We start from the raw sequence: 24,969 nt of genomic DNA on the forward strand, positions 1-24,969 counted from the left end.
AATAATAAGCGTGTTTGAGTGTGGTCTGTGTTAGGTTCTAGCCTGGCCAACATGGTGAAACCCAGTCTCTACTAAAAATACAAAAAAATTAGCTGGGCATGGTGGTGCGTGCCTGTAATCCCAGCTACTTGGGAGGCTGAGGCAGGAGAATTGATTGAACCCGGGAGGCAGAGGTTGCAGTGAGCCAAGATTGTGACATTGCACTCCAGCCTGACAACAGAGCGAGACTCTCGTCTCAAAACAAACAAACAAAAAATTAAATAAATTATAAAGGGAATGAAAAAGGACTGATGAGAAAAGTCAAATTCACATAATAATTTAAACATAGCCGGGCGCAGTGGTGGGCATCTGTAATCTCAGGTACTTGGAAGGCTGAAGCAGGAGAATTGCTTGAACCCAGAAGGTGGAGGTTGCAGTGAGCCGAGATGGTGCCACTGCACTCCAGCTTGGGTGACAGAGTGAGACTCCATCTCAAAAAATAAATAAATAATAAAACAAAGGGCCAGGCGCGGTGGCTCACGCCTGTAATCCCAGCACTTTGGGAGGCCGAGGCGGGTGGATCACGAGGCCAGGAGATCGAGACCATCCTGGCTAACACGGTGAAACCCTGTCTGCTAAAAATACAAAAAAAAAAAAAAAAAAAATTAGCCGGGCGTGTTGGCGGGCGCCTGTAGTCCCAGCTAACTCAGGAGGCTGAGGCAGGAGAATGGCGTGAGACTGGGAGGCGGAGCTTGCAATGAGCCGAGATTGCGCCACTGCACTCCAGCCTGCGTGACAGAACCAGACTTCGTCTCAAAACAAAACAGAAAAGTCTACTAAACTAGATTTGTTGGGAGAAGTATAGCAATGTACAAACCTCCACAAAGAACTGTTTTTACTGTAATAGAATACCATCAAAGATAGACCAGAAGATTCAGTTTCTAAACAATATTTAAGAGAAAAAATGGGAAAAATATATATTGGCATTTCTACTATAATTGGCCTTTCTGCTGAACATATGCCCTGACTAGAACAATATATGAGAAATATATGGCAGCTCCGCAAGGGAGCTACCGCAGATAAAGTGATGCCAACAACACTGAAGATATATTATGGAAGAGACTTTTCCTGAAATTTGTTGCATACTGCCTAGACAAAAGAAAATGTTACCCTCTACAAAGACTTGGAAACATCAAATTTATATTAAAGCTATATTAAAGTTTATAGATACTATGATAGATATCCTTATCCTTTAGTCTCCTTTATGCCTTTCGGAATCATTCCAATAACTTGATTATTTTCCTATCATTAAATATTGTATAGTGTATATGCAGGATTTATTTTCAGACTTAAATCTGCTTAGCTAAGCTAATGAAAATGAGAGATTAAGGGAATCCTCTCCTCTACCTGAGGCTAATGAAAATAAGTGAATTTGGTATGACATCATTTAAGGAAAGTCTAACCAGAAAGCAATCGTGAGTAGGACTCTGTGATAGCAGGAAGGAAAACAGTTAGTCCATTTGGCACTTCTAAAACTCATATATGTAACTATCAGTCTAGTTGAGCCTCACAATGCTCTTATGTGTTAATATTAGTAATTTCATTTAACAAAAAGAAACATTAGAGCATAAGACAGTCAAGACATTTAGGTATTCCAAGTCAATCTGTGGACACAATTTGAGAAAATTCCTAAAAAATGAATATTATGAAATTAGATGCCTGACTACTTCAAGGAAGGGATGATTCTACAAAGTTAAATCTATGTTCATATGGAATTGGTACTACTAGAGCAGATACTTTCACAAACTCATTTTATGTATATGTTGATTAGAACCCAAGAATCATCAGAAAAGTCTTCAAAAAATACATATTTAGAAAAAAGAAATACTCAATTCTATTTGCTTAAATCATTTATCTCCCTGACAAATGATCAGGGAGATACAGTTCTTGGAAAAGAAACTATACAAAAGAAGTCTTACGAAATTGTTTTAGGAATGGGATACAAACTGAAAAGTTTGAACAATGTAAATATATTACAAAGGCATGCAAATAAAGTGGAATTTACTGAAAGTCCTGTGATCTCAATATCAGAAATTATCTTTAATCCACTACAATCTAATGACATACTGGATTTAAATACCTTCAGTTTATGGAACCACTCCTGACTGTGTAAAAGGAAATTGGAATAGAAGAATTATGACTAAAGTCCCAAACACCTAAAGTAAAATATTTAATAGTAGTAGAATTAACAAAGTAAAGCCCATAGAACCATGTCCACTACGGAATAAAATTTACCCGTTTTAATAATAATAAAACGTGTAGATGGGTATTTAAAATACTTTTCTTTTTTCTTTTTTGAGACAGAGTCTTGCTCTATTACCCAGGTTGGAGTGCAGTGGCGTGATATCAGCTTACTGCAACTTCAGCCTCTGGGTTTAAGCAAGTCTTGTGCATCAACCTCCCAAGTAGCTGGGACTACAGGCATGCGCCACCACGCCCAGCTAATTTTTCTATTTTTAGTAAACAGGGTTTAGCCATTTTGCCTAGGCTGCTCTTGAACTCCTGGCCTCAAGTGCTCCACCCTTCTCGGCCTCCCAAAGTAGTAGGATTACAGGCGTGAGCCACTGCACCTGGCCTAAAACACTTTTTAAGGTTTCTTTGGAGCTTAGATCTCTCTAATGCCAGATCGTCTCAATGCCAAGGCAAATTTCCTCTTCATCTTTGTAACTTATCACTTAGCACAGTAAAAGTAGCACATACTAGGTACCTAGTAAATGTTTTTTGAATTTTATCGTATTTCATGGAAATCTTGATTTCTGTATTATCATCTTGGTTAAATATTATACAACTATTACAGTAAAAACATAGTTTATTAGTGCTTTAAATGGAATGATTAGTCTTATACTAAGTGTACAAGAAACACTAGTAGCAGACAACTAGAATGTAAGGGGAATGGTGAGGGTTAGAGGAAGATGAAGGAAGTACACAGAATATAGTCATTCTCTAGTTTTTAATAATAAATCATTATATTTAAATGTAAATAAAATCTAATAATCATGAGGCACATGCAAGACTATGTACAGATATCGCTGACATTAATCTCTTAATAACTTTCTTATTAAATACTGTTGTTACCGTCTCACCTTTCTATAGTCTTTAAGCGTAACAGGAACATAGAAGGCCTTGTACCCACAAACTGCTTTGCCCTACACATAAAAGTTTAAAACGTGTGTGTGTGTTGGGGGTGGGTGAGAGGAGAAAATATAACAGCAATAAGCAACAAATGAGTAAAAAAACAAAACAAAACCAATTTAACCTATTATTTCACATGCTGTGGCTTAGAGTGCTTCAGATTCTAAATAACCTATCATTAAAAAATGAACTATTATCTTAAAAGTTCTCCAAATACTAATTTAATAAAAATGACAATCAGTTCAATTTGGAGAAAAGGAAAGAAAACTGTAAAACACAAATAACTCCCTAACCTCTAGGGCAAAGCTGTTTCTCCTTTAAACAGAATGCAAAAGGAAAACCCTCATAGGGATTTAAGAGGGGTTTTAAAATGTAGAAATACATAAATGTTATGCTATACTAACCCTTAAGCAGGAATGACAAGAGTGTCAGAAGTGTACAGAGGATTCAGATACATTTAAAGGGTATCCTAAATTTATATGTATATTTTAAATTTATTTCATTATTATTTTCTTGAGATGGAGTCTCGCTCTGTCACCCAGGCTGTAGTGTAGTGGCATGATCTTGGCTCACTGCAACCTCCTGGGTTCAAGCAATTCTCCTACCTCAGTCTCCTGAGTAGCTGGGATTACAGGCATATACCATCACACCCAGTTAATTTTTGTATTTTTAGTAGAGACAGGGTTTCACCATGTTGGCCAGCTGGTCTCGAACTCCTGACCGCAGGTGATTCACCTGCCTAGGCCTTCTAAAGTGCTGGGATTACAGGTGTAAGCCACCGTGCCCAGCCTACATTTTAAGTTTAATTAAGTGATTTTTTTTCTTTTTGTTTTTTTTCCCCCCACTTCCATCAGACATAGAATCTGTGGATTAATAAAGGAGAACAGGAAGAAACGCCCTGAAAATTCGACTGGTAAACTGGTCTTCCTCCTTCAACCTAATCATTAGGACAGGGAAGCTCTGGTTCCTGAAAAATTCCCTGAAACAGGTTGATCGGGTGGGAGCTGGCAGAGGGGAGAAGGAAGCTATGATGCACTTTTCTGAGGCTTTCCACTGTGAAATCTACAAAAAGAATTTCTTGTATACTTTTACCTGTGCATGCTTTTGGGAATAAAATCAGCTTTAAGAAAATACCGTACATTTCCTGTTTAAAAGAATATAAAACAGTAAGTCTGGCTTCTACCCCATTCAACATGTAAAACTTCTATTTGGAATGAAAGGTATCAAAATAACTTTCCAATTTATTACTAAACATGAAATTCCCTATAATTTTCAAATAAAAAGCATAAATCCTTCCTCCAAATAAAAATAATTACATATTAAAATTATTTATCTACCTAACTGAAAGAAGAGATATTATCTGGAATAATTCTGAAAAGTCTTACCTTTTCCTTGCAGCTGGAAAGCATGCTAATAATGCTAAGACAAACTGATTGGACTGAGAGCGCTGGGGACCAGTCTTCTGTTAGAATGGATAAACAGATATGACCATTGCTATAAACATGAGGATGAACAGGAATATTTTCACCAGTAAACATGACCTAAGAGAGAATAAAATTCCATTAAAACTCAAATATTCTCTACTACCAAAAACTAAAATATTCTCCACATATAACAAATATTGATTATAAAAAAACAAAAAACCACCAAAATCAGTGCCAGGAACATGATAAACAACTGCTTATTTGTTTACTCTCATTAACTCAGTAAGTATTGGTTTCACTGAACGAATAACCACATAGTAGGGAAAAGATGCCAAATTATTTTTTATTTCGGTTATTTTTGATAAATTCTCCTTAAAAATTCTAAACTACGTATTTTTTACTAGTGAAAGACAACTACATTTATAAGAATGATTTTTCAGATTTTGCTCATTGCTCTCTGCATATAAAAATCAAGTATGATAAAATTCCAAACAAAAATATTCAATTTTGGGAAAATATGAATGACAGGTGGTAGGAACATTCCTCCTACTACTACCTGTTAACAATGTTAGCTCTAAGGCACATGTGCAAAGGGAAATGACTGTTATATATTCCACCTCCTCTAAACTTACACATCCATTATGATGGGTACAAGTTACTAGCTGTTAATCAGTAAATAACTATGTGCCTAGACGAAAAATACAAAAGTTGACCAAGTCTCCCAATTTGCAGTTTTACTCTCCTTTCCCTTTTACTCAATTCTTCTGTAACACTGTTTTTCCTTTCTCTATCATGTCTCAGCAATGTTTTGAATGGTAATAAATCTATTATTTCCTTCCTTTGCTCTAATAATTCAACAAATATCTTAAAGTAGTTTTTCTTAAACTTATTTACCTAAGCAAATAGGCAGGAGAATAAATTCATATATCCTGAGGAATCTGTAAGCATAGTCCAAAGTTGCTCGAAGAAAGCAGAAGTCTTATGTTTACACTGTGTACTATATTTATTCTACAGGTTAGCAGTAATTCCTAATTCCTGACCTCGCCAAAAATCAAACAAAAAAACAAAAGAACACATAGTTGGAAGATCTGCTTAAAAATACAAATTCAAGTGTCCTGCTTTCACAGATTCTAATTTAGTAAGTATAATTAGATTTTTATAAAACCCATCAGATATAAACCAACAATTCCTAAATCAGATTTACAGTATCTCAGCCCTGCAAACTGCCTCATACCCAAGTACAACAGAATATCAGTAAGGAGAAATCTTACCTTAAGTTATAGCAGAAACTGATAAAAGATATACAGTATTGCTTTAGGCATACCCTTTTTTCTCTTTATAGAGCAGAAAAAAGAACCAGTGAGGTAAATATGAATAGAATAAGGTATGCTATAGTTTAATATGGAATATGTTATAGGAAATTACCATAAGCTAAGTTTTATATATATTTTAAATATCTAGCTATGAATCTGATTTTGTTACAATGTTACAATTTTACAAAGATTTACATGTTAATAAAGCAGTCTTTCATATGAGTAGAGTCTTCTAATATTTCAAATATATTAACTAACATATGGGACACATTTCCTTGGCTAAGACTAGATAAGACAGCAAAAGGCATTTTTTTCCCAAAGGAACGATTTTCCATACTTGCATCTATTTCTTTTTTTTCTTTAAATTCTGGACATCAACTCTCCATTCCCACTAATAAAAAAAAAAAAAAAAGCTAAAAAACAAAAGTAAAGTCTCAAAATAAGAGAAATCAAGTCACTTATCCTACCTAATTGCAGAAGACTCCCTGAAAGGACTTTGATTTTGTAATGGCTACGCTCTATGCATGACATTTATCTCAATTACATCTATCGGTGCTAGTACCCTCTTCATTACTTTTTGCTAAAAAAAAGTATTGCTCTGTAAAAGAAAACAAATGCTTACATGGTCTTATAGTTCCACACTGGAGTCTGTCCACAACTGTTTTTTAATGAAATTTTATTTTTCATAAATATGAACTATAGTTTATTACATCATATGCATCTGATACTCCCATGTGTTGTAGATGTACAGAATGGGAGTTTACAAATCTTACGGACATCTACCTTGAGGTATTCATTTTGCCATAAAAAGCCATTTGACCAGTAGGATATTTTCATTAAAACACAAGCAATACCCAAGAGTTTCTTCTTTGGCCACAATTATTTTTTTAAAAGATATTTTTCGGTGTGGCTCATGCCTGTAATCCCAGCACTTTGGCAGGCCGAGGTGGGTGGATCACCTGAGGTCAGCAGTTTGAGACCAGCCTGGCCAACATGGCGAAAACCCGTCTCTACTAAAAAATACAAAAAATTAGCTGGGAGCGGTGGCACGTGCCTGTCATTCCAGCTATTTGGGAGGCTGAGGCAGGAGAATTGCTTGAACCCGGGAGGCAGAGGTTGCAGTGAGCTGAGATCGCACCACCGCACTCCAGCCTGGGCGACAAGAGCGAAACTCGGCCTTAAAAAAAAAAAAAAAGATATTTTTCCCAGTAAGGTCTCTATCAAGAAGTCAAGAAGAATAGTGATCTGAAAGTGCCACAAAAAAAAAAAAAAAAAAAAAAAAAAGAACAACTGCCAAATTATCTTCTTTGGCAAAACTGAATCACCAACCTTTAAAGAAAATAGCAACACGAAGGTTACTACATCATGTTTCACCCAGCCAATTCAGAGCACAAGGAGAACAGTATTTTTCCTAAAGAGAAATGGTTATAAACTAAATCACTTGGCCTGAGAGCCAGTAAGTAGGCATGAACCAAAAGGTACTCAGGAGAGAAGAGAAAGAAAAGCGATGAGTAGCAGTAGAAAACACCTACAGCAGATGCAGCAGATATTCTGTAAGCAAAGAGAACCAGTAATGAAGAAGACAGAAACAACTGTGAAGTAGAAGAGGACTGAGATAAAAATAATTCAGATCTCAATAACCTTTAAATAAAACAGCAGGGGCTTTTTAACATACTGCATGCAGGGCAAATGCAGCCACCCTAAAACTTTTAGCAACCAAAACCAGGGGAATTGCATGTAATAGGTAACCCTTAGGGCCTAACCTGCCAGATACAGAATTTTAGAAGTTTGTCTAAACATATAAAGGGTGAATTTACATGCCAGAGGTGAATTTACATGCCAGAGGTGAATTTCTGAAATAAAAGGAAATTTTTTTCAATAGTTCATTCACATAAGGGGCAAATAAGCATAGTTTCCACAGATGGTTTTTTTTTTTTCTTTCCCCAGATAGAGCTTTGCTCTTGTTGCCCAGGCTGGAGTGCAATGGTACGACCTTGGCTCACTGCAATCCCCGCCTCCCAGGTTCAAGTGATTCTCCTGCCTCAGCCTCCACCTGCCACCACACCCAGCTAATTTTTTGTATTTTTAGTAGAGATGGGGTTTTACCACGTTGGCCAAGCTGGTCTCGAACTCCTGACCTCAGGTGATCCACCCACCTCAGCCTCCCAAAGTGCTGGGGTTACAGGCATGAGTCACTGCACCCGGCCCACAGATTGTTCTAATGTAAACTTTGCTAATCTGGTTCTCTGCATGGGGAAAGTAACCAAGGCAGAATTTCTTCAACTGCATACTGTTAGCCATCCTCATTTATTTAATACTCACTACAAGCCAAAGGAGAAAGTGAATGTTTCAGTTTTTTAACTCAGTCAAGTAGTTTCTACAAACAAGAAATTATTAAGTTGTTTCTAAGGTTCAAAAAAATTTTTTTGGAGTTTCAAGTAGCTGACAAAACTGACTAGAACCGATGTGACAAAACAACTGAACACAATAAATTTGAAACCATAGCAACTTTGCGAATGTATTCAAAATAGTCATATGAACAGCCAACGATGGAGACCACGGACATTCCTCGCTGCGTAAATTACACTAAGTAAAATGGAATTACAGATTTTTAAAGAACGATTTGATGGAAATACAGTTTTAGAAAAGGATCTTAGACCGAATGTACATGAATCAAGTTTGAAGTTGCATTAGAAACAGTCTTTTTTTTTGAGATGGAGTCTCGCACTGTTGCCCAGGCTGGAGTGCAATGGCCCGATCTCTGCTCACTGCAAGCTCCATCTCCTGGGTTCATATGATTCTCCTGCCTCAGCCTCCCAAGTAGCTGGGATTACAGGCGCACACCACCACGCCTGGCTAATTTTTTGTATTTTTAGTAGAGATGGGGTTTTACTATATGTTGGCCAGACTGGTCTCAAACTCCTGACCTTGTGATCCGCCCGCCTCGGCTTCCCAGAGTGCTGGGATTACAGGCGTGAGCCACTGCACCCAGACTGGAAGCAGTCTTTAATTATTACTACCTTTCCAAACATCTCCCGAGCAGTATGGCTTATTCAAAAGCAAGTGAGAGCTAAGAGAGAAATAATTATGCTCAGGGTATGTATCATTTTGGAGATAAGTATGTTTATCCCACAACCAACCTGAAATTTTAAGCAGGCCAATCTCTGGGTAATTTTTGGGTACTGTGAATGTAGTGCCTTTCATAAAACTACTAAAATCTACACTGAAAGCCACCATAGTGATAAAAATAAAAAATAAGAATGAACAGGGGTTGGGGATGGTGACTCACACCTGTAATCCTAGCACTTTGGGAGGTCAATGTGGGAGGATCACTTGAGCCCTGGAGCTCAAGACCAGCCTGGGTAACAAAGTAAGATCCCATCTCTAAAAAAAATAGTAACTAGCCGCATGTGGTGGCATGCTCCTGTAGTCCCAGCTACTCAGGAAGCTAAGGTGAGAGGATTGTTTGAGCCAGGAGTCTGAGGTTGCAGTTGAGCTACGATAGCCCATGGCACTTCAGCCTGGGCAACAGAGTGAGACCCTGTCTTGGAAAAAAAACAAAAAACAAAAAACCTCACTCAAAGTTGGTGTAGTCAGAGAAATAGCTCAATATTATAGCTACCAATATTTATAATGACTTAATAAAAATCAATAATTGAAAGTAGACTTGTAATTGTACACTTCTATATGTTTATACAGTTTACCAAAAACCTCTGCATTATTGCTAAGAACAAAATAAAGGATGGGTATCAGGTACCTTTCTAATATGAAATTCAAGAATTTTCAAACATCAAGCCCAATACTGAAAGGCCTTATGGTACTGAGATCTTACCACGAAGGAGGCACAACTACTGTTCAGACTAGAGTTGCAGAGGTAGTTAGAAAGTCTATAACCTAACATGGTGTCAAGCTAGGTCAAAACACAGTGTATATAAACGAGCAGTAAAAAACAGAATATAATTATAAAAGCCAATCTACAATATGGATACCAAGGTTTTTCCAGGGACAGTATGAGGAAAATATGTTCTCTGATTACAATTATTATAAGATAGTATTTAATGCAGACAACAGTACTTAATGTGTAACTACATAAACTGAACATACAAGCAATCAGTTTATTGTTGTAATGGAAACTAAATCAGATATTTATGTATAACATACAATATAGGTAGTCTACCATAAACGGTATTTGACAAAAATGACTGGAGATTGGAATCTTAGCATAGCTTTCCATTCAATTCTCCCTTTTTAGTCCTCTCATACACAGCAAGCATCCATAAGTGTTCCCTGATACTCTGTAATAACGAGTACCATGCAGCTATAGTGCAAAGACAAAATTATTGGACACAACGAAACTAAACTTGGATTGTCTTGGATGGTAATCATTCTCTTCCCTTTATACTCTATGTTCTTTTAGCCTACTAGTCTAATCCTCTATCTTCCTTCCCCTTGACCCCCAAGGCTTCAGTGAATAGGGTTCACTGTTAACCTTCTTGTCAGGTGTCCAAGACGCTTGTCAATTTAAGGCAATAAAAACTGTTATTCAAAGACTTTGGAAAGCTTGAACATCACCCATGAAAGAGGATGGAAAATCAGACCAGGAAAAAAAGACAAGATGAGGACATCACGAACATAGGTTCTGGATCTCTGCAAAGAATGAATTTTGAGCAACAGAAAAGGGTCCGTGGTAAGGAGGCATGAATAGGAGGGGGGAATGAGGATGAAGAGGAAGGTAATTACTCTTTTGCCTCAGTACTTTTAAAGCTTTACAATCAAGGCAATTGTACTTTCAGCACCACTCTTAGCAACAAAATGGCTTCTAATCAAAGAGACACTGTCCCCTTCCCTCTAAAATAAACATTTTCCCTATTTCTAAAATACTGAAAACGTCTTCATCAAAAATTAGCTAAAAGTCTCTAAAACAAGGCCGGGCACGGAGGCTCAAGCCTGTAATCCCAGCAGTTTGGGAGGCCGAGGTGGGCGGATCACTGGGGGGTTAGGAGTTCCAGACCAGCCTGGCCAACATGGCAAAACCTTGTCTCTAACAAAAATACAAAAATAAGCCAGGCTTTGTGGTGCGCGCCTGTAATCCCAGCTACTGTGGAGGCTGAGGCAGGAGAATCGTTTGAACCCGGGAGGCGGAGGTTGCAGTGAGCCAAGATTGCGCCACTTCACTCCAGCCTGGGCAACAGAGTGAGACTCTGTCTCAATAAAAAGTGCCCAGGCATGGTGGCTCACACCTATAATCCCAGAACTCTGGGAGGCTGAGGCGGGCAGATCACAAGGTCAGGAGTTTGAGACCAGCCTGGCCAACATGGTGAAACCCCATTTCTAACTAAAGATACAAAAAAAATTAGCTGGGTGTGGTGGTGCACGCTTGTAATCCCAGCTACTCAGGAGGCTGAGGCAGGAGAATCACTTGAACCCAGAAGGCGGAGGTTGCGATGAGCCAAGATCATGCCACTGCACTACAGCCTGGGTGACAGGGCGCAACTCCATCTCAAAAATAATAATGATAATTAATAAATCAATGTAATAGATGTATTTCAGATTTCTTTCACTCAAATAGAATGCTTTAACAGAGGAAAGGGGTACAAATACTGGATATGTAAAGGAATGGAAGAACTTTCTCTTGGATATAGAAAGGAAAAGTAGTAATAGAGTCAAGATACTAAGCTTGAGGACTTCAGAGGTTTTTTTTGTTTTGTTTTGAGATGGAGTCTCGTTCTGTCGCCAGGCTGGAGTGCAGTGGCATGATCTTGACTCTCTGCAACCTCCATCTTCCAGGTTCAAGCAATTCTCCTGCCTCAGCCTGCTGAATTGCTGGGACTACAGGTGCACACCACCATGCCCAGCTAATTTTTGCATTTTTAGTATGGGTTTCACCATGTTGGCCAGGTTGGTCTCAAACTCCTGACCTCAAGTGATCTGCCTGCCTTGGCCTCCCAAAGTGCTGGGATTAGAGGCATGAGCCACCACGCCCAGTTGTGGACTTCAGAGTTTTGATGGAGATGGGCCATCCCTCCTAATACCTATGATAGAAACGTCAAACTTCTTTCACACTGCAAGACCCTTTTTGATAAGCCCCAAAATAACCTTCCACTCTCATCTCCTGCTGTAATCCCCCATGTATCGACACATAAAACTACAAGAGCCCATGCTCACAAATGTAAGGAGGCCAAGTCCTTTCACACCTTGCCCTATACTTTTCACATAAACTCTTTTTGTCCTTTAAGGCCCAGTTCTACCAGTTCAAATAGGTTTTTCTTTGCCCCCTTAGAATATTCTAAATTGGTTGCTTTCCCTTTTGCCCCCAAAGCATACAATTCACACTTCAGTTGTCTGTACAGTTGCATATGCCAAAAATCATGGAGTCTTCCTTGACTCCTCCCCTCCTTCAATCATACTCCAAATTAATCCATTAGCAAATCCTGTTGATTTCAACCTTTAAAACAGGTCCAAAACATGACCACCTTCCAAAACGTCCACTGCTACCCTTCTGGTGCAAGTCACCATCATCTCTCACCTGGGTTACTTTAACGGCCTATCTGATCTCCCTGCACCTTTATGCCCTGAACGGTTTATATGCCACACAACAGCCAGACTGTTCCTTTTAACTTTAAATAGGACTATATCGTTCCTCTGCTCAAAACCTTCCAAAGGCTTCCCCATCTCACTAAGAGTAAAAAGTCAAAATTCTTACAAGGGGCTATAAATGTCCTATATAATCTGTGATGACCGCTCCAGCCCAAATGATCTCTCTGACTAATACAGTTTGGATGTTTGTCCCCTCCAAATCTCATGTTGAAATGTAACCCCCAATGTTGGAGGTGGGGCCTGGTGGGAGGTGTGTGGGTCACTCTGGGTGTGTGCTCTCATGAATGGCTTGGTGATGTCCTCGACAGTGAATGAGTTCTCTTGAGATCTGGTTGTTTCAAAATGTGTGGCACCTCGCCACTGACTCTTGTTCCCACTCTCGCCATGTGAGACACTGCTCCCTCTTCACCTTCTGCCATGATGGTAAGCGTCCTGAGGCCAACACCAGAAGCAGATGGTGGCACTATGCTTCTTGTACAGCCTGCAGAACTGTGAGCCAATTAAACCTCTTTTCTTTATAAATTACCCAGCCTCAGGTCTTTATAGCAGTACAAAAATGGCCTAATACACTGACCTAAGCCTTACACTCCCCTTCCTGTTTATACACCACTCCAGGGACCCGTCCTACATATTCCAGATTTAGAGCCTTTGCATTTTGTCTTCATCTGTTCTTTCTCTCAACCCTTTCAAATGGCTTACTCCTGCACATCTTTCAGATCTCTCCTCCAATGTCACCTTCTCAGTGAAATCTTTCCCAGTGACTCTATCCAATATTTCAACACCCTCATCTCCCCTTCTGTACTTTTCCCTCACCATCTTCCATACTATATGTATTCTACTCGTTGCTTACTGTCTCTCCCCACAAGAATGCAAACTCCATATAAGCAGGGTTTTTGTTGCTGTTGCAGTTTTGGTCATCATTGAATCACCAGCACCCAGCACAGTGTCTGTCCCATGACACATCCTCAAGAAATACGGAATGAATATTTACCTATCCAAATACTAAACAGATTATAAACTGTTTAAAGGCAGGCCCAATGCCTTTTAAAACTCTGTACTCTCTCCCCTCTCTCAAGAAACAGTATTTGATACATAATTCATGCCCAATACATGTTGAATTAACCAACCATTTACCTGTATCCTAGCATAAAAAAGCAGAATATGTACATAGAAAGCTATTTTCTGTATGGCTGACAGTAAGTGTACATTAGCGGCAAGCAGTGATGAAAAGATGCCTCATCTCTGTTTCCATATTAACAGACAAATTGTTTGTTGTTATTCTTTCTTTTAAGGCAAATGACTGAGCCAAACATATTTTAGAGAGGTAACTTTTTCATTATAAGGCAGGACACAACATGAGACATAAAATATAACTGGCAGGAAGAAAAACACAACAAACCATAATGGTGTGTGACAGTCTTACTGATCTCATTTACAGGTACAAAAGCAGTAATTTCACAATGAGATTCATCTATTCTAGAAATATTTTCCAAATTCTACTCTTGTAACTAGTGATAAACTCAGTACTGTTCATTGCATAGAAAGATGAAAGACTTTTCTTTCTTTTTTTTATTAGAGATGGGGTTGCCCTACGTTGCCCAGGCTGGTCCCAAAACTCCTGGGCTGCCTTGGCCTCTCAAAGTGCTTGGATTACAGGCATGAGTACCATGCCCAGCCAGAAAGATGAAAGACTAATTTAGGTAACAAGTGCTAATGCTACAGAGTTTCATCAAATAAAATTTTGGGGGAATTTTACTGCCCTAGAGGACTGGTTCTAGCCACTTTCCCAGGGCAGTGGATCTCTGCAAAGTTTCAGTTATTGGAAAAATCTTGAAGTCTATAAGCACATCAAGCATTGATGTTTGACCCATTATAATTATGTTAAAACTATATAGATTATGTATAAATACATTTTAAAAAATTTTAACGTATTACTGGCCTCAGAGTAGTTCTGCCATTTTCCCAATCAATGGATATTAGAATATACAACCTCTATGCCATGTGAGGGACTACAGAATTAACTGATATTAAAAAGGAATCCTCACTGGGCGTGCCTATGATCCCAGTACTTTGACAGGCCGAGGCGAGCAGATCACTTTAGGACAGGAGTTCAAGACCAGCTGGACCAACATGGTGAAACCTTGTTTCTACCAAAAATACAAAAAAAAATAAGCCAGGCATGGTGGTGCATACCTGTAGTTGCAGCTACTCAGAGAGGCTGAGGTGGGAGAATGGTTTAAGCCCAGGAGGCAGAGGTTGCAGTGAGCAGAGATCACACCACTGCACTCCAGCCTGGGCAACAGAGCGAGACTCTGTCTCAAAAAAATAAAAAACAAACAAACAAACAAACAAACAAACAAAAAAACAAAATAAAAAAACCAAGCCAGGCATGGCGGCAGATGGCTGTAGTCCCTGCTACTCTGGAGGCTGAGGTGGAAGGATCACTTGAGCCCAGGAGTTGGAGGCTGCAGTGAGCTATGATTACACCACAGCATAGGTAGATGACAAAGGGAGACTCTGTCTCCGCACCCCCACCCCACCAAAAAGTAAATTAAAAAAGGAATCCTTATATTTCAAAAAGAGTGAGAATAACTGACCTAGAGCTTTCAAAGGTACCATTCATTCCACATATAATCTTTCACTTTCAGAGAGAAAATTACTACATAGATAAATAGGCATTTTTTCCACACCGGTACTCGCATCTAATTGGCAGTATGGCAAAGGAGGAAAGGAAAGACTTGGGTTTGGGTCTTGACTGTCCTATAAACTAGGTATTAAAACGTGAACAAGGCACTTCACTTCTACAAGTTTCAATTTCTTCACATATAAAATGAGGATGAATCTACCTCCCCTAACCACTTCATTAAAAGATGTTAGAAAACAAAATCAGAATGGAAGTTAAATTATGAAGTACTATATAGAAATATTACCATACAGAATGCATGCAGGTGCAGAAAAAGTTAAGTTTGGATGTGACTATACAGGGACTTGAATGCCAGGCTAAAAACTTGATTCCATAGGAAATAAACATTAAGAGGTTTTACTGTCAGGGGGTGAGGAATTCTGGGGATGGTGGAGTGAGACAGAGTGTGTGTGTGGTGGGGGGGTGGAGTGGGGTGTGGGAGTGTGTGTGTGGGGGGGGGGGGATGTGTGTGCATGTCCATGTGTGTGGTATGTAACCAGTGAGATAACTGTGCCTTCAAACAAATCTATTGGCACCGTGAAAGGATGTAGGAATTCAAAGAACTAAAGGCTACTGTAATGGTTCAAATAAAAGATAAAAACCTGGACTAGGCCAGGCATGGTGGCTCACACATGTAATCCCAGCACTTTGGGAGGCCAAGGAGGTGGGCTGATCGCTTGAGCCCAGGAGCTCGAGACTAGTCTGGGCAACATGGCAAGACCCCATCTCTACAAAAAATATAAAAATTAGCTGGGTGTGCCATCAGATGGCCAAATCATTATTTACTGGACCAGACCTTTTCAAAACTATCAAGCAGATAGTCAAGGCCTGTAAAGTGTGCCAAAGAAATAATCCCCTGCACTGCAGGCCATACATTTCAATCCCTCTATCTTTAACCTCCTTGTTAAGTTTGTCTCTTCCAGAATTGAAGCTGTAAAACTACAAATCGTTCTTCAAATGGAGCCCCAGACAGTCCATGACTAAAATCTACCACAGACCCCTGGACCGGCCTGCTAGCCCATGCTCCAATGTTAATGACATTGAAGGCACCCCTCCTGAGGAAATCTCAACTGCACAACCCCTACTACGTCCCAATTCAGCGGGAAGCAGTTAGAGTGGTTGTCGGCCAACCTCCCCAACAGCACTTGGGTTTTCCTGTTGAGAGGGGGCACTGAGAGACAGGACTAGCTGGATTTCCTAGGCCGACAAAGAATCCCTAAGCCTAGCTGGGAAGGTGACCGCTTCCACCTTTAAACACAGGGCTTGCAACTTAGCTCACACCTGACCAATCAGATAGTAAAGAGAGCTCACTAAAATGCTAATTAGGCAAAAACAGGAGGTAAAGAAATAGCCAATCATCTGTTGCCTGAGAGCACAGAGGGAGGGACAACGATCAGGAAATAAACCCAGACATTCGAGCTGGCAACAGCAACCCCCTTTGGGTCCCCTCCCTTTGTATGGGAGCTCTGTTTTCACTCTATTAAATCTTGCAACTGCAAAAAAAAAAAAAAAAAAAAAAAAAAAAAAAATTAGCTGGGTGTGGTGGCATGCACCTGTAGTCCCAGCTGCTTCGGAGGCTGATATGGTAGGATCACTTGAGCCCAGGTGGCAGCAGTTGCAGTGAGCCAAGATTGCACCACTGCACTCCAACCTGGGTGACAAAGCGAGACGCTGTCTCAAAAAAAACAAAACAAAAACAAACAAACAAAAAACCAGACTACAGCACTGACATTAAGAAAAGAATGGGCTACCTTTCAAATGTAGGAGGGAGGAGTGTGGAAAAGAGAAAAACTGAGCACAAAAATAGACAGGTGGACAGTAACCCAGGATAAAGAAAAACAAAATGTTCTTTGTTATTGGAAAGATCAAGTTTAGTTGTGTTAAATTTGAGATGTCTGGAGGTACTCAAGTATTTCAACAAGGGTGTGAAATTAAGCCTTAAAAAAAGAAGTGTTCCCAGAGCTGTAGATCTGGGAGTTAGCTGCTTAAGGTGACTGAAGGTGAAAGAAGAGTGAGAAGAGTAACACAGTGCTGAATAAAGAACCTGGATAACACCAATGTTAGAAGAACAGACAAATAAAATCAGGGAAGGAGGATAAAATGAATTTGAAATAGGACAATAGGGAGAATTTATTACAAATGCTGTAACTTACAGAAATATTAAAGAAGAAATTCAACATAATGTTTAAGTTTGATATTTGATTTAGAATTAAATATTAAGGAAAGAGTTTAGAGAACACATTTTTGACTTGGTTTCATGCTTACAGAAATATTATTTTCCTCTGGTGAAAAATCTGTAAGCTCCCAGAGTAAGCCTTCCCCCAATATCTCCCTAGTCAAAAGCTTTTGAATTGGTGTGAAATATTCTTCCTTCCCATACCATCATTGAACTTAGTTGAAGGTAGACAAATAGGCTGATGATGAAAACAGACTGAGATCCTGTTGTCTCCACACATTTACAGTCAGAAATGATGCTGGCCAGCCAGAAAGCAACAAAAGTGATGACAATCTTCTGGAGAGAAGATGTTTGTTCTTTTTATTATAGTCTACAAATGCTTATTGTAGACATCTAGAGGTCACAATAGCACATACCCTTTCACTTTAACTTTTATGAAAATGATAAAAATAAGTCCTAAAAGTCTTGGTAGTTTTCTGCTCATATGAAAATTTTAGAACTTAAGGAGTCAGTATCCATTTAAATCTATGCTTTAAAACAATTATCTCTTTACTTATAGCATGATACAATAACTGACTTTATCTCTTCTCTTACATAACTAAGAAAAGATTAAGCTGTGTTTGGTATATTGTTTAAAGTGACAATGAAATATGATTTTCCTCCAAATAGTACATTTCAGCACCCAACAAGCAAAATTTTCAGTATCTGGGAAATATTTCAGGTATTTGGTTGTATTTTCCAGAATAGCTCATTTGCTAGCAATACTAGAGAGAGCTGGCATCATGTCTTACCATTTTAGCCAACGGATCTCACAAGCCTCAAATTTTAAAAATGAAGTGCTTTGTTATAATTCTCTGAAGAATAAGTAATTATAGTAACTCATTTACTTATCTTACCAAGCCAGAAACCTGGAAGTCATCCTAGAGTCTTCCTTTCTCTAACCTGATTAATCATTTACTATAGTTAAATAGCTCTCAAAAAACATTTCTCTACCACCATTATCCCTTGTCTAAGTATTAAGCTATTAACTAAACTCACTGGGCATCAAATTATAATAATCAGACTTTGTGCTGATGTTTAGATATTTAACATCTGATGATGTACTCTGCCCTTCCTGTACTAAAAGGCTGCAAGGACAGCATGTCAATGCAAAATCATAGTACTCCTTCCAACAGAGAACTTTTCTCTTCACCATGTGATTCTACCATCTGACCTAGGAGAAGTGCCTCCAGTTATTCCAAAATGTCAACTTCTCCGATGGCCTAGAGCAGTGGTCCCCAATCTTTTTGACACAAGGGACCGGTGTGATGGAAGACAATTTTTCCATGGATGGGGTTGGGGATTGGATGATGGTTTTGGGATGGAACTGTTCCATCTCAGATCATCAGGCATTAGATTCTCATAAAGAGCGTGCTATCTAGATCCCTCACATGTGCAGTTCACAATAAGGCTCGTACTCCTATGAGAATCTAATGCCATCGCTGATCTGACAGGAGGCAGAGCTCAGGCAGTAATGCTGCTCACCTCCTGTGTGGCCCGACTCCTAACAGGCCATGGACCAGTACTAGTCCACAGCATGGGGGTTGGGGACCCCTGGCCTAGAGGCCTGGTTAGATTTCTATTCCCTTTTCTGTTAGCATTTATGGATAAGCAACAAATGAAACAATTTTAGAAGCAAAATGCAGTAAAGCCCTAATCCCAATAAAGTGTAATGTTCATATCTTGATTATATGACAAATAAGATAATGAAATAACAAATCCATCTACATACGTATAACTGATTTATATGTTTTTACTGAGTCAAACATCTCTGGCATTTAGCTATCTAAAAATACAAAAAAAAAAATTTAAAGCAAGGCAATTACCTGAGGAGAGTCAAAAGGATATCGACTACTAAATTTAAATAGAAGTTGAAATTTTTCCCCTTCATATAAGGTACCTGGTGCACCTTCCATGTCTACAATCCACCTAGAATAGAAAAGGCAAATTAAAAACTTAAGATAATAGAGACTGGGGTAAGGAGGAGAAAAGAGGACACCAAGTACTTCCTATACACTAAGCACTAGGACAAGAGTTGGTTATGTGTAACAGCACATGCCAGCCTCCCAATAACTCTCTTACTGTTAATTCTCATGACCTATCCCCTTCTCTGACACTCAGCGGTGAAATAACCAGATCAAGGTCAGACAGCTAGCAAAAGACAGAGCCAGGTCTAAAAAAGCAAACTAAATAAAACCCAAGGCCGGGTGTGGTGGCTCACACCTGTAATCCCAGAACTTTGGGAGGCCAAGACAGGCAGATCACGAGGTCAGGAGTTTAAGACCAGCCTGACCAACATGGTGAAACCGGTCTCTACTAAAAATACAAAAATTAGCCGGGCATGGTGGTGTGCACCTGTAATCCCAGCTACTCAGGAGGCTGAGGCAGGAGAATCGCTTGAACCCGGGAGGCAGAGGTTGCAGTGAGCCAAGATCATGCCACTGCACTCCAGCCTGGGCTACAGGGCAAGACTGTCTCAAAATAAACAAACAAACAGACCTCAAACTAAGGTGCACTGACACCAAAGCCTGTGCTCCTCCTAATTGATTTATACTACCTTATTTTTTCAAAGTACCATTTCTACAATGCTGATATTACGTATTCTATACATAACATCAAACAAAGCAACTGCCTCTGATTATTACTGGTGGAAGCCATGGAGAAATACGTATAGACAATGACCACAGAGAACCGTAGCTGTCAGACTTATTTTTTTCATCAACATCCTAGAGAAGATTAACAGGGCAAGGGGAGCTAAATTGACATCAGTCCACTTACTCTGATGATTAAGCAAGGCTTTGTGGTGACTTTCCTTTATCTCTCACTATGTTTCAATTGTTTAATAAAGCCCATTTCTATGCCATCTATGCAAGCCTTTGTTTTCATATATAACAATCATAAACATAAATGTGTTATTTACAGTTTATATACTATTCTTGTTATTTTCTTTAAGATGGGAAGAATAAGGGATAATGACAGCAAAGATAACAGGGCAGCATTAGAAGCAAAAGTGAATTGAAGTCATTAACAATGTGTTCCTAATTATAGCTCTGTCACTTATAATTCTTGTACACCTGGGCAATTCTCTTGAACTTTTCAGTTATTAAACTTTCTTGTATTTAAAATACAAGAAAACAAAAGGAAGATAGAAAATACAGTGTTGGGATTCTAGTCATCACCACGCATACTATGAACCTTGGATTATGTAAAATAATAAATGTACCTATTCTCTAAAAGAAATCAGCTACAGTATACAGACTCTTAAGAGCATGGCTATTCATTTTAAGAATGCACGCTGAGTACCATACATGGTAATAAAAGATACGACCACAGACCCAAGAGACAATATTTTATAGTGAAATTAGACAGTTATAACTGAAGTTATACTGAAGTCGCAGTTATAGTTAATCTTAACTCATTGTGTGAACAAGTTATGTTATCTCTCCAGTTTTAACTACCTCAATAATAAAACAGAAGATAATCACCTCATAGTGTTGTTGGAAAGATAAATGACCCTACATACGTAAAAAACCTAGCACATTCCTGACTCAGTCAATACATGGTAAATTAAATGCAATGCAAAAGCTGCATACAAAACAAAAAACTATCTCTTTATATATTAGGTCCTTCTTAATCTTCGAAATTCCTTTCTTATTTTTCCACCCACATCCACTAGGCACAGTGATATTCCCAGGAAAAACGGTGGTCTTTCATTCTGTTTATATGGTAATTTTAGGACACATAACATAAATTAACATGTAACCTATACAAACAAGCACAGCTTTTAAAAATAAAGAGCTAAGCAAGTATCTCATCAATCCTTGTAATATCTGCATGACATGCAGATACTGACACGAGGTCAAAGGCAGCATAACTTTCAACATGGTGCGTGGTACTTTCTTTTTTTTTTGGTACAGAGTTTTGCTCTTGTTGCCCAGGCTGGAGTGCAATGGCGTGATCTCGGCTCACCGCAACCTCCGCCTCCTGGGTTCAAGTGATTCTCCTGCCTCAGCCTCCCAAGTAGCTGGGATTACAGGCATGAGCCACCACACCCGGCTAATTTTTTGTATTTTTGTAGAGAGGGTGTTTCTCCATGTTTTTCAGGCTGGTCTCGAACTCCCGAACTCGGGTGATCTGCCCGCCTCGGCGTCCCAAAGTGCTGGGATTACAGGTGTGAACCACCGCACCTGGCCTGTGCATGGTACTTTCTAATAATCCTTTTGTTTTGAGACAGGGTCTCACTCTGTCACCCAGGCTGGAGTACCGTGGTGCAATCAGGGCTCACTGCAGCCTTGACCTCCTGGGCTCAAGTGACTCCCCCACCTCAGACTCCCAAGTAGCTGGGACCACAGGTGCACACCACCATGCCCAGCCAACTTTTAATTTTTTTCTTTTTTTCAGTAGAGATGGGATCTCCCTATGTTGCCCAGTCCGGTCTTGAACTCCTGGGCTCAAGGGATCCTCCTGCCCCGCCTCAGCCTCTCAAAGCATTGAGATTACAGGCATGAGCCACCATGCCAGGACTAATAAGTTTGTATTAGTTAAAAAAGTTAAGATATGTTCATTGTAGAAACTTCAGAAAAGTATAAACAAAAATCACCCAGTGATAACCACTGTTAAAGTTTTTGGGGGTATATTTCATTCTAGTCATTTTGCTGTTTCCTATACCATCGAAGCCTATATGAAATGGCAGCCCAGTAGCTGCATTTTGTGCACACTTAAATTACATCAATTTAAACCATCAGGGTTTATGATTCCAATCACAAGCATATGCCCCAGAGTAAGGATGCAATGAGACTACACGTGTTGTTCTCTCAATTAGTCTCAGTTCTTTAACACCCGTGAGTACCTAGTACTCTGTAATTCTAATGTTTAAGCATTAGAATTTTTTTTATTTCTTCACATATCATGGTTCTTAATCAAAGACACAACCATCTATTCCACTCTGGAGGAAAAACTGGCTTTGGTGGATTTATTAAAAGAGGATACATACCAGTAAGGTCTTCCTAAAGGATTTTTCAAAGGTAATTATAACTATACAAAATTTTTACCTTACATGCTGACTACAGACTATAATTCAAGTGATGCCATTTCACTGCACTGCCTTGACAAACCTTTTCCATATTATTGACATTTACACTATTCCCAAATTATCCCTAGAATTAGCAATGTCGAAATGAGTATAGTTAGTTCTAAGTCTTTTTCTAGATCTGTTACTTTCCTAGGATGGTGTATGGTAGGTCAAACATGATAGTATTCATATTTTTTAAGGTCTCAATATATGCTACCAAATTTCTTCCAGAAAATTAAAAAAATTGTTTTTGTGGGTACAAAGTAGGTGTATATATCTTTGGGGCACATGAGATATTTTGATACAAGCACACAATGCATAATAATCACACCAGGGTAAATGGGGTATCCATCACCTCAAGCAGTTATCCTTTCTGTTACAATCCAATTATACTTTTAGTTATGTGAAAATGCACAATAAATTATTGTTGACTATAGTCACCCTGTTGTGCTCTCAAATACTAGATCTTCTTCATTCTATTTTTTGTACCCATCAGAAAGCTTCTTAATGTGCTTTCATCATCCTCGTTATGGATCTTCCACATCCATATCCACATTTCATATACTCTTAACAATCTGATTCTTTATAAGACTATTTTATAGCCTAGAAGATGGCACAAAGGTAAAAATTTTATGGTTCATTTACAATAAATTATTTTAAAAGAAAAATTCTTGCCTGACCAATATCTCGATATAATAGGATTTACTCTACAACAAAGGTATTGTTGCTTTGGCTGTTATAATTTGTGGTATAACTACCTGGTAATCTATTAAAATGTTTCTATTTGTAAAAATTTAAAACAGTCCTTTAACTTTTTATAAATTATTGTGTTGTGTGGTTTCCCCATCCTCCCAAAAAAATAAACGATGAAAGAAGAAGTAATCTCATTATTATCACTTTCCTTGAGAACTATAGGGACAGCTGTTACAGGATACTCTGAGGTAGGTTAAGAAAAGGAGAGAGGAAAAAGATTAAAATGGGATATAATCTGCATCAGGATGAAAAAAGAGTCAGTTTCATTTGTTTAATAATATGCAACAAATGCCACTCTAAATGTATGCTCCATTTTTGGTTGTTTTAGAACAAGAGTTTAATATTTTCTATGTATGATATATACAAAAAATCAGTTTAGAACTCAACAATATTTTTAAGTGATTGTTACAGAGTTAAAGATGTGTATTACATTTTTTTTTTTTTCCAAAAGAGTCTATACATCCATTCGTAATATGCTTGTTCTTAAAGCTTTGACCCCTGTCTTAGGTACTGATACAAATGCCAAAGTCAAAGGTACCCAAAACTGTTTCCTCTGAAAGGGTAAGTTATATGAATTTTGGTCACTTTCACTCCCTGGACCTAGACTACACTAAATATTTGAATTGGCTCATTTGTCCTACAAGTTGGTTTACAATCAATTTTTATCTTATTGGCCACTTTTCCTTTTCTTTTTAGAGGTTTTTTTTAAGTGGAGGATAAATTATTTTAGATTTCTCCATGATTTCAGAACATTTACCACTGTCTAATAAAATTATTAAATGACTGCTGAGAGTCACACTTTCACTTTGTTGCCCTTCTGTACAGGACGCAATTGATGTTTTTAGGGCATGGGATACCTTTTGACTATTACTCTCTTCATATGCCTAAATAGATACATATTTTTAATTTGATAAAACCTCACACCAAACAGTTCTTTAATATTATAGATGAGAATCACTTCATAAACAAAGTCAGTGCTACTCAGTTAAACAAAATTTTTTAAAAATGTACCAAAGATAGTTTAAAAACAGCTTTACAAATTATGCAACAATGTTTATAATGCCGTAAAACAAAATTGATTATATATATAAATGCACAGAATAAGATCTGTTTACTCTATTTACCTCTTGGTGAAAGAATGAAATGTGAAAATAATTTTGTAGTTTTAAAAAGCGGGTGAACATTCATACATTATTGGTAATAAAACAAAGAGCCCTTTTAAAATTAAATACTTACTGTGTAATTGAATTTTGAACACTCTTCTCATTTAAGGTCATTCCAGGAGGTGGGTCATTTTGCAAAGCCAACAGTTCTTTCTGTAGTCGTTTCTAGAAAAGAACATCAATAATAATTTGTCCTTTTTGAGACTAGGTCTGGGTCACCCAGGTTGGAGTACAGTGGTGTGATCACAGCTCACCACATCCTCAAACTCCTGGGCTCAAGGAATCCTCCCACCTCAGCCTCCCAAGTAGCTTGAGACTACAGGCACACACCACAATGCCCAGCTAATTTTTTTTTTGGTAGAGATGGGGTTCTCACTTTGTTGCTCAGGCTGGTAGTGAACTCCTGGCCTCAAGCAATTCTCCCAACCTCAGCTTCCCAAAGTGCTGAGATTACAAGTGTGAGCTACCACACTCAGCCTGCACTTTTAAAAAAACAACATAACATCTTTCCAGTTATCCTTGATAATATCCTTCTACAATCTGAAATCATTAAATTTCCTCCAAATGTTCATACCTTTC

The 24,969-nt window shown here is 38.5% G+C and overlaps 1 protein-coding gene across 6 annotated transcripts in view; it reads right to left on the minus strand.

Moving 5' to 3' along the window:
• Window positions 1-24,969, minus strand: part of UBE2W (ubiquitin conjugating enzyme E2 W) — a 98,767-nt gene that overhangs the window by 25,822 nt on the left and 47,976 nt on the right. For 3 of the 6 annotated variants that reach the window (NM_001271015.3, NM_018299.6, NM_001001481.4), the window contains 3 exons: window positions 24,464-24,555; window positions 19,230-19,332; window positions 4,557-4,712 (listed from right to left, as the gene is read on the minus strand). In NM_001271015.3, the coding sequence (NP_001257944.2) occupies window positions 4,557-4,712; window positions 19,230-19,332; window positions 24,464-24,555 (351 nt within the window). The remainder of the gene's footprint in view (window positions 1-4,556; window positions 4,713-19,229; window positions 19,333-24,463; window positions 24,556-24,969) is intronic. The other 3 variants (NR_073121.3, NR_073119.3, NR_073120.3) reach the window with 1 other exon arrangement.

This window comes from Homo sapiens, chromosome 8 (genome assembly GCF_000001405.40).
Source record: "Homo sapiens chromosome 8, GRCh38.p14 Primary Assembly".
Lineage (NCBI taxonomy): Eukaryota > Metazoa > Chordata > Mammalia > Primates > Hominidae > Homo > Homo sapiens.